Below are 17,283 nucleotides of genomic sequence, written 5' to 3'. Positions count from 1 at the left end.
AACAAGAGATACAATGAACCATAATATGCCCATATGATAATATATCACACAGTAATCAAAATATTTTAATAGGAAATTAATATCATAAGATAAAAAGCAAGAAGAATGATGATAAGCCATTTGACTACCACTATATTTATCTATGTAACTATAACCACATACACATATTTTAAAAAATTGATTGGAATATACAAAATGGTCTTTTCATTCTCTGTGATATGTAAAATGTAGAAATATACTTTTCTGGGCTGGATGCAGTAGCTCACACCTATAATCCCAGCACTTTGGGAGGCCGAGGTTGGTGGAGCACCTGAGGTCAGGAATTCGAGACCAGCCTGGCCAACATAGTGAAATCCTGTGTCTACTAAAAATACAAAAATTAGCCAGATTTGGTGGTGGGTGCCTGTAATCCCAGCTACTCAGGAGGCTGAGGCAGGAAAATTGCTTGAACCCAGGAGGCAGAGGTTGCAGTGAGCCGAGATCCTGCCACTGCACTCCAGCCTGGGCGACAGAGTGAGACTCCATCTCAGGAAAAAAAAAAAAAAATCTATCTATCTATCTATCTATCTATCTATCTATCTATCTATCTATCTATCTATACTTATATATACTTTTCTTTGTTATCCATATTCATTTCAGAGAATGCAGTGCTATTGTAAAAAAAATGAATAAAATTAATATAAGTTTAGAGCACTTTTTTGGCATCAGTATGCCTAAGGAAAACTAATGTATAATACAGGATTAATGTTTTTCACACCATCTCAAATCTTACTGAATGCTGCTATCTAGAAAACAGTGGTAACTGAGTTACAATGGGACCTTAAAAGCAAAAAACCACTGTGACTGGCTAACTGAAAGTGATCATAGAGCCAAAACCATAATGATTGTCCTGCCCAAGCTTCAGCATATATGGTTGCAAAATGTGCGCAGTGTTAATGCCGTGTCAAGTGTCTTGTGGTATTTCATCAGTGTCGCTTACAAGGCATACTCAACATTTAACAGCAGGATCATTAACCATCCATGCTGTGATGTAATGGAATAGTGCTTCCCTACTAACCCTGAAACAAGCTCACTGTGTGTGACCTACATCCTTCCGCTGGATGAGTGTGAGAAAATGATGACACCACAGAAGCAAAGCAGCTGCTGTAAGTTGAGCCACAAGGAAGAAACTCTCAAGACAGGAAGAATAAATGCTTTAGAGGTGCACTAAAATAATGAATGAACTAATGTGGCATAGCTGTGAAATCATGCGAGGAAAAGAACTACAGGGACAGTAACAGAAGGTGGTTCTTTGAAGTAAAGACATTGAGAAGAAGAAAAATTGCCAACTTGTGTAATCAGTTGATGTTGCTAGTTAGCCAGTTTAAACATGCGTTAAAGATAAAGATCTGCTTGAAACCAATTATTTTATTGTTTGGCTTCCTGTTTAAAGATGAAAATGAAATATGTGTATATATGTGACATATTTTACCTAGCAGTGAGTAGATGCAGGAAGCATGTAAAATGCTTTGCTGAATTCACTAACGTCACAAAATATTCCTTAATAATTGCCGCGTTTGATAGGCTGACCTTATGCTAGCACAGGAAACAATGCAGTGGACTTGGGTTGGAGAGAAGAATTTTGACATTTGGATTTTTAAAAATCATGTATATTGAACCCATGAACTCTCATGTGGAACATCAGATTTACTATATTTTAAACAGAAATGCCATCACTATAAAAACCATTGCAAATTTGTCAATATACTTCCATTTAAAAAGCCTTTTCCTGCTTTTATTGATTTATTGATTAATTTTTTTTTGAGACAGGATCTCACTCTGTCACCCACGATGAAGTGCAGTGGCACAATCGTGGCTTGCAGCCTCGACCTCCTAGGCTCAGGTGATACTCTTACCTCAGCTACCTCCCAAGTAACTGGGAATGTAGGCTTGCACCACCATGTCTGACCCATTTTCTTGCAGAAATTGAGTTTTGCTATGTTGTCCAGACTTGTCTTGAACTCCCAGACTGAAGCAATCCGCCCACTTAGGCCTCCTAAAATGTTGGGATTACAGTCATGAACCACTGTGCTCCACCTCCTTTTTCTCCTTTTCAGATAGATTATGTATTCTGTACCTTTTGTGTAACTAACTTGTTATTACATAAACTATATTCTAAATACATTATAAATTATTGTGATCATGATATTTATCATTGAATTAACACTGCCTAAGTAGCAATTTTCACAGAAAAGATAATTTTAAAAGACCAAAATGGTTATTCTCTTGGAAGCAGTTGACATAAAATAACAGAATAATACAGATTAAAATTCTGTTTTCCAACAGCTACTAGTGGTAAGAAATATAGTAAGCTTCTGATTTGTAGAAACCTTAGCTTTCTCATCTGATGAGGTGGTTAATAATATTAACTCTCATATTTGCTGAAATAATATAAAATATTTAATATAAATTGTCAATTATAATGACTGGCATAAGGTAGAATTACAACAAATGCTAATTATATTTGCTTGTTTGAAAATTTAACACTCTATTAAAAGGCAAAAAAGTGCTCACCTGCAAATATTAATACATGCCTTCTGTTTAGTCCATAGAAAGCCCACAAGTAAGAGATTCAAAAGTGAAAGCTATCACTTACAGAAGATTAAGAATATATTGCATTGAGAAGATAGGGATTAAGGAGTTTATCAAAGGTTTTTTAAAAAATTATTTTCCTGAACATCATTTCAAGAAAGATAAGCGCCAAAGACATAAATATATTCTCCAGAGCATGTGCACTGCAAGTTGACAAATGTGTCTCTTTTATAGAGTTTGGTGAAGGTTATTCATTTTATTTTTCCTGTCTTGACCAGAAAATTGTGGCTTCTCATCATGTATGACTGCCTGCAGGGTCTTCTGAATAGGAAATTACCAATGCTGAAATTTGTATGACTTAAATAAGTGTTGAAGTGTGGGGGTTGAAAGGAGATACATATCAGAGACATCCATTCAGTTAATAGAACTAAGTTTTTGATTTGCATAGCTTATATCTAGAGCATTGTGTTTCTTATTTTCTATATTACTATCTTCTCTAACTATATAATTAGCACAGATTGAAGCTATAATGGATTTCAATAATAGCACTACTTTAGAATGATGTATACGTCTTTAAATCTTAAGACAAGCATAGGAAATATGTATATTCTTAAAAAAAGGAAAATTTTTTTAAAGTTTAGAGTTAAAAGAAACATGCATTTTCTGTTACATTTCAGATTATTTTAGTTAAAGAATCTTCTATGCTTTTTTTCTTCATTCTTAGAAGACTACCTGCAATTGTAAAGCATGAATCCTGTAATACTTCTGTAAATGAATCACTATTGCATTTATACCATTAGCCTCTGAACAGATTTCAAGTTGCTGCTGCCAACTCTCGCGAGCTTTGTCAGTAACAGTTGATTGTTACATTCAGTAACACTGAATGTCAGTGCAGTCCAATTTACAGGCTGGAGCAGCAGCTGCATCCTGCATTTCCCCGAAGTATTACATGATTTTCACTCCTTGCAAACTTTGCCATCTTTGTTGCAGAGAATCGGGTAAGTTGCTCTGAATTTACACCTTCGTGTAGAGATCCAAGTTACTGTAAAGCTCATTCTGTGGGATGAGAGTGATCTCTTCATGTGTTTGTTGTGTCCCTTTGGTGCTCTGTGGGGAACAGTTACTGAAGCTTGCAAATGGGACAGAGGAAGTGAGCCAGCAGGCACATGCATCAAATCTTCCTATTATTCAGGGAACGCAGACTTTGTTTATTTAACTGCTGAGAAAATAATGAATTTATTCAACTCTGTATAAAGGACCATAGCACGTGTGGAATCACTGTGATATATATTCTTAGTGAGTTTCCTAAGAAAAAACATTTCATACTGGCTTACCCTTAAATGCATTGTTTATTGAATCTCTCTGTAAAAGTAATCTTTGATTAGTCTTCCTTTTTTTTTCTTTTTAAATGGGATAAAGTTAGTAGTTAACTTACTTTTTCCTGAACAAAATACTTTTCTCAATCAACATTTTGTCACCTAAAACTTTAACAGTAACAACTGGCAAATGAGAGGTCTGTTTATTTTATGTAAATAAAAACAAAACCTGTTTTCTAATTTGATTTACAGTGATTTATGAGCGTGTCCCCTTTGCCCTTTGTGTTCACTTTTTATATGTTTGTTTAAATTGTAGCAAAATATTTTACATTTGCTATTATTTTACTATTATAGAAATAGTAAGCAAATGTACTTTCTGCTCATCCTATAATCTTGTAAAACTATTATTTTGATAACATCAGTTCCACTTTAACCAGGGAATTAAATATTAAGGATTATAAAATCTATGAATGACTAAAAGTAAACTGAAATGTGATTTCATTGTTTATGATTTCTATTTATTATATATTTTTATTTTATGAGTATGTCTTCTACATTTTTATGAATATATTTCATGATAATAAACTCAATTAGGAGCTCCTGTCACTAGTCTGTGTAATGCCTTCCTTAATATAAACTATCTCATAGTTACAATAAATACAATGACAGTTTACTTATATAAGTAGTTACTTTGTTTAAGGATAAGCGTGAGCTTTTAAAGTGTGACTTTAACATTTGAATAAAAATCTTCAGAATTTTCTCTGGATATAAAATAAAGTAGTCTTTTGGATGCCAAATAAATTTCTAATTGGGTTATCAAAGTTCTGTTTTGTTCTCCTAATTTTTTGTTGTTGTTGTTTGTTTGTATTGTCCTAGTTTTTTAATTGTAAAAATATGTTTGGGATGTATTCCATATTTCATTTTTATAAAACATAAGCTACTAATAGCTAAACAAGTCACATCTTATCTATAAATTTGGTTCCTTCTTCGAGTCATTTCTTGATAAGTATAATATATATTTACATTGAATATTATCTTCATTTCGATGGTTTCTTGCCAGCATCTGCTCATTCTTACCAAAATTAGACGGTCCCAGATGTTAAGAGAATTGTAATTGAATAGATAGCAACCTAAGAGGAGATTTAATTTTCAGAGAAGACTCAAGAAATCTCTCTAATAAATGTTCAAATTATTCACACAATGAAGTTTGCAAATGTTCTTCCTAATTGAGGACAGATAAAACATCTTAAGTTTCTTATATCTAATGTAGTGTCTTCTATATGTATACATGCCTAAAGCATAGCTGAAGAATCCCTGAAAGACAGTGATGTAGTCTATTTATAATCAGACTTCCTCAATTCCCCACTTCACTTAGTCTGCAACAAAACAAGCTTTTTAAGTTTGATATAAAGACGTCGTTGTTCCAATTTCTTCAAATACATTTAAGAGAGCTTGTTCTAGATCATATTAATATTATCTAGATGGCTCTTTCTCTACCATTTTAAGAGGGTTTATTTCCAAGTAGAAATAAATATTTATTTAATTGTAACTTTTTAAAAGATAGGGAAATTATACACAGGGAAAATATTTTGAATATTTGCTTGAACATCTTTTAAAAATTCTTGGCTTGTCCCTTATTTTGAAAATCTGGTTGATATTCAAGTATCCCAAAAAATAGCTCTTTATACAAATTATTTTATCACACTCACATCTTATAGTATAACATTTAGTATTTTTTGTTAAAATCAGCTAGGGAATATTAATAGTACTTTCAAAATTGAATTAAAAATACAAAAAAAGATTTGTCACCTTTTTTATTTGAAAGTTATTGTTATAACAGTTTAGCATTTTCAAAAATTGCCAGTAAATTTTCTTAATTCCAAACAAAAACTCAGTTCCTCAAAAACTCAAATTCCTCAAAAACTCAATTCCTCAAAAACTAGAATGGTCTGAATTCCAAACAAAAACTCCTGTCTTTATTTCCAATATTAAATACTATTTTGATAAGCAAATTGATCTAAATTCAGATACACAGCTGTATTTGTGAAAATGTGCCCCATTTTTATGATAATGTTTATGCTACTATGTTCTCTCAGAATCATGTGAGACAGTATCCAATTGCACCAGAATTTATTAAAAGAAAAACGATCAAACCTGCACGTTGTGCACATGTACCCTAAAACTTAAAGTATAATAATAATAAAATTAAAAAAAAGAAAAACGATAATGTTTTGTTGAATATCCTAATCATTAATAAAAATTTTGAGATATAGACTCAATATTTTTATTCTATTTTCATTTATTTCTCTTTCGATTGCTCAATTACATGATAAACATATCAAAATTTTTAAAGTCTTTTAATGGCAAAACTACAGAGTAGCATGTTAGAATAGATAATACCAGATTATAAAAAGGGCAAAGTGATGCTTATTTAAAAAATAAAGTACTGCAATTAAATATAAAAACATTAGCCTACAATACACTAACAGTATATGAACATCTGCATATTTTTATATTAAAGTACACATTAAATAATATGTCATATGACACTCTGCAACAATACATATGAGTTAGCATTATATTGTCATTTTTGCAATGAATGCATGCTTACAAGAATTGCTTTGATTGTTACCAATTACATTATTTGCAAGTTGATAACTCAGATATCATTATCGAAAAATTAAAGATTTTAATTCATACCATATTATTATATAACAAGACCTACTCAGCATAAAATATAAATATCAACATATAATAAATTTTGTATTAAATCAAGTTAAGTGACATGGGAAGATATTACAACCATTTAGATGTTATAGCAACTGTTTAACATAAACAATGAAACATCACATTTCATAATTACACAAAACACAAATACAGTTTTGTAGCAACTATAGTACTTGCTTTGCAATAATATAAACTGTTTGTAGAACAAGTTTGAAAACTATCAGAGACCAAAATTTATTTCAATTTGGTGTTTGGTTTCTAAAGACAAACTAATATTCAAATAAAATCAAGGAAAAAATAGATGGCTTTTGCATTAGACTTAGAAGAACATTGACTGAGCTAGGCAAGAGGGAGAATGGGTACAACCAGGGATGATGCAATTAATTTATTAAATTGCAGCTTAGAACGAACCGCCCAATCAGCTTTGCACCTTATTCACTTTTTCTTCCCAGAGGATGTTTTCAAAACAGAAAATAAAAAAAATCATACTAGCACTTTGTTTTTCTCCAGATGCTCTCCTGCATTTATTAAAGAGAAAAGGATTAGCGGTTATCAGAAAGAAAAAAGAACTGAAGCAGTAGAGTGCCTCTAAAACTTTGATTATGTCTGAAATGTTATTAGTGTCAGGTAACAGGAAACTTTAAGTCATTGTTATATTTTACTTATTTATTTACTGTGATTTATGATACAGTCATACAATACATAATGATGCTTCAATCAATAATGGTGGTCTTATACAATTATAATATAGTATTTTCACTGTACCTTTTCTCTGTTTACATACACATACAGTTACCATTTTCTAACAATTGCCTACAGTATTCAGGAACATGTTATACAGATTTGTAGCCTAGATGCAACAGCCTATACCATATAGCCTAAAGGTGTGGTAGGCTATGGCATCTAAGTTTGCGTGAGTACACTTATAATGTGTGCACAATGATTAGATCGCCTAACAATGCATTTCTTAGAATGTATCCCTGTCAATAAATGGCATATGACAAGGATACATTATATAATAGTACCTAAATTATATATAATAGTACCTAAATATCATGAATGTAGAAATGCTGCTAAAAATATATTTTAATTATGTTTTATTGATCTTAGCACACATCTAATTGTACCAAACAGAACTGAAAAAATAATAATCTTGTGGCTTGATTTTTTTAAAACCTTATTATTATAGCAGTCATTTTATATGTAAATATATATGCATATACATATGAATATTGTTAGAATTAGATATAGAAATAGATATATCCATTAAGTATCAAGCCCTGAACCAAATGCTCCAGACCATGGATTAATAAATTGAGATATTTATTGGGATAAAAAATACTTGTAGGTCACTAGATATCCTATGACCATTGGTGAATTAGGCTGATTTGAAATATGATACCCTACGTCTGGGACATAGGCATTAGAATAGTTATTTATTCTCTTTCTTTGAGAAAATCTAAATTAAATAAACAAAGACAAAACTAATACAAATGCTTAGTATTTGTAGGATTCGTTTATTGGTTGTGTAGGTTGGATTTCAGCAACCTAATTACAGCATGAGAAAAAATAAAGGGAAGGCTTTGTACATTAATGGATCTTTGTTATTATTATGTGAATGAGAATCAGTATTTGTAATTGACTATTTTAGTTATATAAACACATTAGTTCTTCTATGGCCGGGCGCGGTGGCTCATGCCTGTAATCCCAGCTCTTTGGGAGGCCGAGGTAAGTGGATCACTTGAGGTCAGGAGTTCGAGACCAGCCTGGCCAACATGGTAAAACCCCATCTCTACTAAAATACAAAAATTACCTGGGTGTGGTGCCATACACCTGTAATCCCAGCTACTTGGGAGGCTGAGGCAGAAGAATCACTTGAGCCCAGGAGGCAGAGGTTGCAGTGAGCCGAGATCACACCACTGCACTCTAGCTTGGCGACAGAGTGAGACTCCATCTCAAAAGAGACATTAGTTCATTTAAATGATATTTGCATCACATTTTGCTGTCCCTCTTTGTCACAGAGTTTCCAAATCTGATTTTTAATTTCTTTTTTATTGAAAAGAAACTCACATCTGCATTATGAATTTCTGATAAAACTTAGATCTCTTCTAATAGTCTATGTCATCCATTAAATATTATTTCATAAATGTCAAATACTTATGATTTTGTAGGTCACAAAGATTATTTTTGCTTCTGCCATGTGGCCCAATAGTTTCTAAGCTTTGATCCTCTAATTTCAGTCATTTTTTTCATTATAAAAAATGCAAATAATTCTGACTGTGCTAACACATTTAGCTTCACTAGTTGCATATACTTTAATCTGTTAACAAATTGCTATAACAAATATGAATACATATTGAGTAATACTGAGTATAAAATTCCTCTTAAGCCACAATCTTCTCCCAGACATTATAATGCTAGCCCCTGGTTCTCTCTATTGACATTATAAATCTGGTAAAGAGTCCCTCATGTTTATTAAATTTTGGAGAAATTACCTGGAATATATCCTCAGCCTTCGCTCTTTATTTTTTCCATAGCCCTTACTAGTGGTAGCATGTTTGTTAGTTTTTACAATTTGTAGAATAAATGGTGACTACCATATATTTGTTACTTAATATTCTGTGAATAAATTGTCTAAATTCTCTTCAGTTTGTATAATAGGATTGTATAGAGGAAGATGTCACTTGGCAAAAGGGACCACAGAAAAGACAAGGAAAACAGAAAAGGACAATAATGACAATCTATTGATCCTTAAAAGTTCTTAACCTACTTAACAATTCTGCCAAGAACCAGCCAGTCATGATATTTCAGAGAATATATGAACTTGTATTTTCTCCTCTTACCAAGGCAGAAATTATATCTGATGTAGGTAGACTACTGTTTACTGCTTTTTTGGTGGAGCTGTACATATAGTCAGAAGTAACATTAAATTTGGCTAGGACAAACATTCTATTTAAAATACTAGCTCTTCCTTACAAAGATTTGACAATAAATATCCCTAAAATGAATATTTTTTATTTTCCATTCCACTATTTTTTTTTCTAAATTGAAAACTAAAATATCTCTGTTTTCTATTTTTTCCTATGTAGGCCTTTACAGAAGCAGGTTTATTTGTTTTCATAATTTGTAGAATTACTAACGACTATATTTTAGGTAATTATCATCAATAAAGTATAATATGCTATATGCAGAAGGCTTATAAAACATTATACTTACCTCTCTTTCAGAAATCAATATGCATAGCAAAGTCACAATCATATGCATCAGATTTCTCTTTTGGTTTCTTTTGCTCTGCATGCTTATTGGGAAGTCACATACTGAAGATGACATCATAATTGCAACAAAGAATGGAAAAGTCAGAGGGATGAACTTGACAGTTTTTGGTGGCACGGTAACAGCCTTTCTTGGAATTCCCTATGCACAGCCACCTCTTGGTAGACTTCGATTCAAAAAGCCACAGTCTCTGACCAAGTGGTCTGATATTTGGAATGCCACAAAATATGCAAATTCTTGCTGTCAGAACATAGATCAAAGTTTTCCAGGCTTCCATGGATCAGAGATGTGGAACCCAAACACTGACCTCAGTGAAGACTGTTTATATCTAAATGTATGGATTCCAGCACCTAAACCAAAAAATGCCACTGTATTGATATGGATTTATGGTGGTGGTTTTCAAACTGGAACATCATCTTTACATGTTTATGATGGCAAGTTTCTGGCTCGGGTTGAAAGAGTTATTGTAGTGTCAATGAACTATAGGGTGGGTGCCCTAGGATTCTTAGCTTTGCCAGGAAATCCTGAGGCTCCAGGGAACATGGGTTTATTTGATCAACAGTTGGCTCTTCAGTGGGTTCAAAAAAATATAGCAGCCTTTGGTGGAAATCCTAAAAGTGTAACTCTCTTTGGAGAAAGTGCAGGAGCAGCTTCAGTTAGCCTGCATTTGCTTTCTCCTGGAAGCCATTCATTGTTCACCAGAGCCATTCTGCAAAGTGGATCCTTTAATGCTCCTTGGGCGGTAACATCTCTTTATGAAGCTAGGAACAGAACGTTGAACTTAGCTAAATTGACTGGTTGCTCTAGAGAGAATGAGACTGAAATAATCAAGTGTCTTAGAAATAAAGATCCCCAAGAAATTCTTCTGAATGAAGCATTTGTTGTCCCCTATGGGACTCCTTTGTCAGTAAACTTTGGTCCGACCGTGGATGGTGATTTTCTCACTGACATGCCAGACATATTACTTGAACTTGGACAATTTAAAAAAACCCAGATTTTGGTGGGTGTTAATAAAGATGAAGGGACAGCTTTTTTAGTCTATGGTGCTCCTGGCTTCAGCAAAGATAACAATAGTATCATAACTAGAAAAGAATTTCAGGAAGGTTTAAAAATATTTTTTCCAGGAGTGAGTGAGTTTGGAAAGGAATCCATCCTTTTTCATTACACAGACTGGGTAGATGATCAGAGACCTGAAAACTACCGTGAGGCCTTGGGTGATGTTGTTGGGGATTATAATTTCATATGCCCTGCCTTGGAGTTCACCAAGAAGTTCTCAGAATGGGGAAATAATGCCTTTTTCTACTATTTTGAACACCGATCCTCCAAACTTCCGTGGCCAGAATGGATGGGAGTGATGCATGGCTATGAAATTGAATTTGTCTTTGGTTTACCTCTGGAAAGAAGAGATAATTACACAAAAGCCGAGGAAATTTTGAGTAGATCCATAGTGAAACGGTGGGCAAATTTTGCAAAATATGGGTAAGTGCTGATTTTTGTCATTGTTCTCTGGCTTGGTTTGATCCGTTTTGCTTAGCTTTGCTTGGTCTCTGGGGTAGACTTTAGTATAAAGACACAGAAATGTTTTAATTATTTGTTCTATTTGTACCAAAGCTGGTTTTATTTTTTCTTATGAACTGCATTTCAACTCCCTGTGTCAGAGTGTTTAAATCATCATCTTAGAAATTTTATAAAAAATATCTTCTGATTTCATCTCCAAAATATTTCAAAGTATTTCAACAATGTTAGCCAAAGTTTTTATAGAAAAAGATGCTTAGTTGGAGAACTAAAATTAATGTGAGAATACTTTTTAACCTGCAAGTTTACAATGTTCACAGATTTACGTCAGAGTAGGACTATTTCTTCCCAAGCTCTTCAGCTTGGTACCATGATACCTGATACATGAAGTAATGTATCTCTGCTTAGGAAATTGAAGGGACATGATGGTGATGCAGTTGGCCCTCAGTTTACCCAAAATATACATTTGCCATTGTATTGTTTGGTTTTTCTTTTTTTCCTAATAGGCCTGATCAGATTTGAGGCAGCCTGTGTTTGACTGGGGCCATGAGGTTTTAGCTAAGCCGTTCTCCACCTGAGCAGTCTTATGGCTGACATTAGATAATCAGAGACATTACAAAAAACATATTTCCCCCATATATTATAAGTATTGTGATAGTATGTCCAAAAGAGTCAGAAAAAATAACCATTTAGAATATATTTTCTAAATATGTATGTGTATCTATAGAAAATAAAGTAGTTTTTTTTTCTCCCACTACATTTGTAAACCAAAACCACATTTTATACATGGGAGTAAATTGCACCAATGTGAATAATTTAAAAAAAATAGAAATTTAGAAATTTACTTATACAAGAAATGTTTACATAAATCATAAGTTGATTGATTCAGTAATTCAGTCTATCACACTATCTTTTATAACTAAACAAAATGCCGATAGTTACATTATTGCTTTCTGGTGTTCTTTTCCACCCTCCATTTGGAATTCTTTGTATTTCATGTTACTGTATGTATGTTTCTACAATATCAGTTGTACAATTCTTTTCAAAATGGTTTAATACTTATTCACTGTGGATAAAGTTATAATTCTTCCACCTAGCATTAAAAGGCCTCTGTAATCTTGCTGCAACTCACATTACTCAGTAACACCAGGTTCTGGGTAAGCCAGTTATCTCACTAATACCAAAGATTCTGAGTTTAACTGCACCTTAGAACTTTCTTCTCTCAATGTGCCCTGTTTAGAACACCTACCTCTTTCCTCTTTAATGACAAAGTCCTACTTTTTTAAGGTCTTAATCTACTACACATCTCATGCAACATTTCTTTAATTCCTAGAGTTGCAATTGCTTCAGACTTCTTGTTCACTCTCACAGAAGTTGACTGTAACTTGTCTATTTCCTCTTTCATTGTAAGCTGTTCTTCCTCAACCATACTAAACTACGTTCTTGAAACAGAACCTGTGGTTTTGATTTGATATTCATTGAAGTACTATGATGGGTATGTATCATATTTAACAAATATTTGGCTAATGATTGAATGAGAGCTGGTAAAAGATAGTATGAGTAAAAAATATTATATTGCCTTTTCAAGATATGTGGGTTATTATATTACCCGTAGCTGTAAAATATTTTATTCCTTCTCAACATCAGCATAAATTTCTGCTCAAGGAAAGAACGATCAGCTTATTTTTAGAGGTGTATTAGAATTACTTATATCTCATTCTGCTCTCTCCCTCAAGACTTTATCCATATTACATCATTTATATATGTTTTTAATTCTTTCTTTAAATTCTAGGAACTGTAAATCATTTAAGGATTTAAGGATGATTTTTGAAATTATTGAAACCTAAACTTTTCAAAGGACTTCATTTTTTTGCATGTTGCAATCATTGAGGAATTTATATTTTCTCATTTCACAATGGAGAACACAAAGAATCAGATGTGTTAAATGCCTTGTTTATGGCACCCATATAACAGACCAAAGAAGAAAATCTTTGACACTTAATAGGATTATTTAATACTTAATTATTTAATTATTAATTAATTAATAAGGTTATTTAATATTAACCTTATAATGGGAAATAAATAAAAATTGACATTTTAATAATAATAATACATATATGTCATGGAGATCATAAGCTATAAAGAGTTAAACTGTAAAGTAGTGTGGCAATAACAAGATGTTATTTTAGTAATTTTATTTGCAGACGATATTTGCACAGTTGAACAGAGATAATAACATTATATATTTGTGTTAAGGGTTGATTTGATGTCAAGCATAATGTTAATATCCTGATGTTCGTTATCTACTTTCAAAGTATACATGCGAATTAATATAGAAGCTTTGAATAATTAAGTGAACGGCAGTGGAAACAAAGTTGATAACTGTTAGGTCTGGAAATCTATCCACATCTTTCTGACCACAGACTTGATGTCCCAAATCTGTAATTTCCAAGGGCAAAGACTTTCCTCCTAGGCCCCTTTCTTTCTACCCACCAATGACATTTAACAATGTCTGGAGCCCTTTTTGAGTGTCAGTACTAGGGAAACAGATGATACCAGCAAGGTAAAGGCCCAGCATGCTGCTAAACACCCTGTAATGCACACGGCGGCATTCCACAATGATATAATTATTCATTCCAAAATGTAAATAATGCCAAGGTTGAGAAACTCTTCTAGTCTCTACTTCCTCAGAACTTCAAAATGTCTTATTAAGGAAGTAAAAGTAGAATTGGAGCTGTAATTATCATTTAGGAAAATGAGTTTTCAAGTTCATGATTCATGAAATGTTTTAATAAATTCTTCTTAATTAGTAAATCTATGTCTACTATTTATAATCTTCATTGAAATATAATGTACATACTGTAAAAATATACACAATAAACATAAAGATCAGTAAATTTTTACCAATATGTACAACTCCATAAAGATAAAGCATAATTCCATTGCCTCAGAATAAAGTCCCCCCCCACCTCTTTGCAAACAGCCATCTTACTCCCCATGTCCAGTCAATCACTGATTCTATTTTTATTATAGATTAGTTTTACCTTTTCTAGAGCTTTATATTCATGGTATCATAGCCTATATAATCTTGTGTCTCGCTTCTTTTGCTCAGCATAATAGAATTGCAATTCATCTGTGTTGTATGTGTAAAGTAGTTTATTTGTTATTCACTGCTAAGTGCTATTTCCTATGGATGATTGTACCACTACTTGTTTATCCATTCACTCATACGTTGTTTCCTTTTGGGGATATTATGACTAGCATTCTACGAATATTTTTCTGGAAGACTTTTGTCTTGTTGTAGAAGATGTTTTTTTTCTCTTATTTTGAGTAAAAAGTGAGAGGAATTGCAGGAACACATATAAGCACATGCTTATTTTTTTTAAAGAAACTGTTCAACTATTTTCCTTAGTTGAGAATTTTATACTCCCAAAAGCAGTGATGTACCAGAGCCCCACTTGTTTCACATCTTCAGCATCACTTGCAACTAATCAATCTTCAATTTTAGCTGTTCTTCTGGCTTTGTAATGACATCTCATTGTGCTTTTGCTTTGTTTCTATCTGATGGATATAGATGTGAAACATCTTTTCTTATGCTTACTGGTCATTGGTATTTTTTCTATTTTGAAATGTTTAAGTCTTTTGCCAATTTTTATTGGGTTTATCTCTCATTGACTTGTAAGAATTCTTATATTCATAGGTGGAAATTGAACAATGAGAACACATGGACACAGGAAGGGGAACATCACACACCGGGGCCTGTTGTGGGGTGGGGTGAGCGGGGAGGGATAGCATTAGGAGATATACCTGATGTTAAATGACGAGTTAATGGGTGCAGCACACCAACACGGCACATGTATACATGTGTAACTAAGCTGTACGTTGTGCACATGTACCCTAAAACTTAAAGTACAATAAATATAAAAAGATACATATCCTATGTATTTTCAATATTTTCTCCCAGTTTATATCTTACTTTGATTTTTAAAATGTTGAATTTCAATGAATCTCAGCTTATTAATTTATTTCCATCTTATCAAATAAATATTTCCCTACACCAACATTTGTGAAGACTGGTTTTTTTTTCTGTTTTCTTCTTGCTTTATGGTTTTAGCTTTTTACTTTTGATTCATAATATTATTTACATTCATATCTGTGAACTTTTAATGTAGGCATTGAGGTTCATTATTTCCCATATAAATATTCAGATACTACATCACTATTCTTTAGAAAAGACACTTCTTTACTTACTAAATTACTTAGGCTACTTTCTTGAAAATCAACTGACCATATACGTGTGGATATGAATGAGTACATTTTATTCTGTCCCACTAAATGGTCTCATGTCTATTCTTATGCCAGTACTGGAGTGTCTTATATAGTATGTCTACACAGTATTTTTTTAATTGGAGAGTTTAAAGGAGTACACTATGTTTTCACAAACAAAACTTTTGATTTGAAAAAAAAACAGTTATGTCTATTTTAGTTTTGCATTTCCAAATAAAGATTAGAATCAGCTTCTCAGTTTTCACAAAAGCTGATTAGGTGTTGAAATGATTGATTAATGTAAAGAGAATGTTCATATTAACATTACTGCTTTTAAATCCATGAATATGGTATACCTTTCCTTTTATTTTGTTATTTTTTAATTTATATAAATATTTAAAAGTTTTACATGTACAGTCCTTGGATATATTTAACTAAATTTATCCCTAACAGTTTTATGTATTTTAAAATTTAGATTTTGCTAGTATCTAAATATACACTTGATTTTCTACGTCATGCAAGCTTGCTAATTTCACTTATAAAGTTTGGTAGATTTATCAATTTTTTAATTTGGGGGTTAAATAAGCTATTTTCTGTGAATGATGGGGGACAGTTGGCTTCTTCCTTTTCAATATTTATATCTATCGTTTTCTTGATGATTTTGTTATTGCATTCTCTAGGATTGTTAGCACAATATTAAATAATAGATGTGGAGCATATAGTTTCAAATCTTAGAGGGATGAGTTCACAATTTTGGTATTGTCTATATTAACTATAGTTTTGCCCTTCGTCAAATTTAGGAAATTCTCTTCTATTCCTATTTCTTGAGAGTCTTTATTATAAATAGATATTAAATTGTGACAAATGCTCTTTCTGCTTCTATTGAAAGGACCATCATATTTTTGTTGCTTTGTCTTCTCATTAATTTTGTTAGTGTGGTGAATTATATTAAAACAATCTTGCATTCCTAGAATAAAAACAACTTTATCATAATATAGTGTCATTTTAATATATTTTTATATTGTTTTCTAATAATAATATAATTTATTGATGTTTTCCTCTTATTCATGAAAAATATAAGTATACAATTTTGTTTATTTTAATTTCTTTGTAAAGCTTTCATGTAAGAATAATCTTAGGCTGAACATGGTGGTTCATGCCTGTAATCCCACCACTTTGGGAAGCCAAGGCAGGAGGACTGCTTGAAGCCCAAAGTTATAGACTAGCCTGAGCAACAAAGTGAGAGAGTCCATCTCTACATTAAAAAAAAAAAAAAAAAAGTTGGTTGGGTATGGTGGGTATGGTGCCACACACCTGTAGCCTCAGCTACATGGGAGGCCGAGGCAGGAGGATCACTTGAGCCCAGGAATTCATGGCTGTAGTGGACTATGATCAGGGCACTGCACTCTAGTCTGGGTGACAGAACAGATCTCCTCTCTGAGAAAAAAAATATGTAGTAATCTTCCTTCTGCTTCAAGATTTTTTAGTTTGCAAACCATTGGGATTATTTAAGTCTTTAAATATTTAACATATTTCGTCAATGAAACCACTTAGATCTGGAGTTTTCCTTATGGGAAAATATCTTATTATAAATATAATACTTCATAGGACATAG

General features: G+C 32.5%; 1 protein-coding gene across 3 annotated transcripts in view, besides 1 other annotated feature; it reads left to right on the top strand.

Moving 5' to 3' along the window:
• Window positions 3,348-3,642: an enhancer, noted in NCBI's record as "tiled region #7963; HepG2 Activating non-DNase unmatched - State 24:Quies, and K562 Activating non-DNase unmatched - State 24:Quies". NCBI's record gives its function as "activates a minimal TATA promoter and a strong SV40 promoter by Sharpr-MPRA in HepG2 and K562 cells {active_cell/tissue: HepG2 | K562}" and the evidence as "EXISTENCE:reporter gene assay evidence [ECO:0000049][PMID:27701403]".
• BCHE (butyrylcholinesterase) overlaps window positions 3,460-17,283 on the top strand; it is a 64,520-nt gene continuing 50,696 nt past the window's right edge. For 2 of the 3 annotated variants that reach the window (NR_137636.2, NM_000055.4), the window contains exons 1-2: window positions 3,460-3,569; window positions 9,842-11,366. Coding sequence is in view for 1 of the 3 variants with exons in the window: in NM_000055.4 (NP_000046.1) it covers window positions 9,850-11,366 (1,517 nt within the window). In the remaining 2 variants the exon portion in view is untranslated. The remainder of the gene's footprint in view (window positions 3,570-9,841; window positions 11,367-17,283) is intronic. The other variant, NR_137635.2, reaches the window with a different exon arrangement.

This window comes from Homo sapiens, chromosome 3 (assembly GCF_000001405.40).
Source record: "Homo sapiens chromosome 3, GRCh38.p14 Primary Assembly".
NCBI classification, from domain to species: Eukaryota; Metazoa; Chordata; class Mammalia; order Primates; family Hominidae; genus Homo; species Homo sapiens.
The sequence above is the reverse complement of the archived record's forward strand: the minus strand, read 5'-3'. Positions and strand labels throughout refer to the sequence as shown.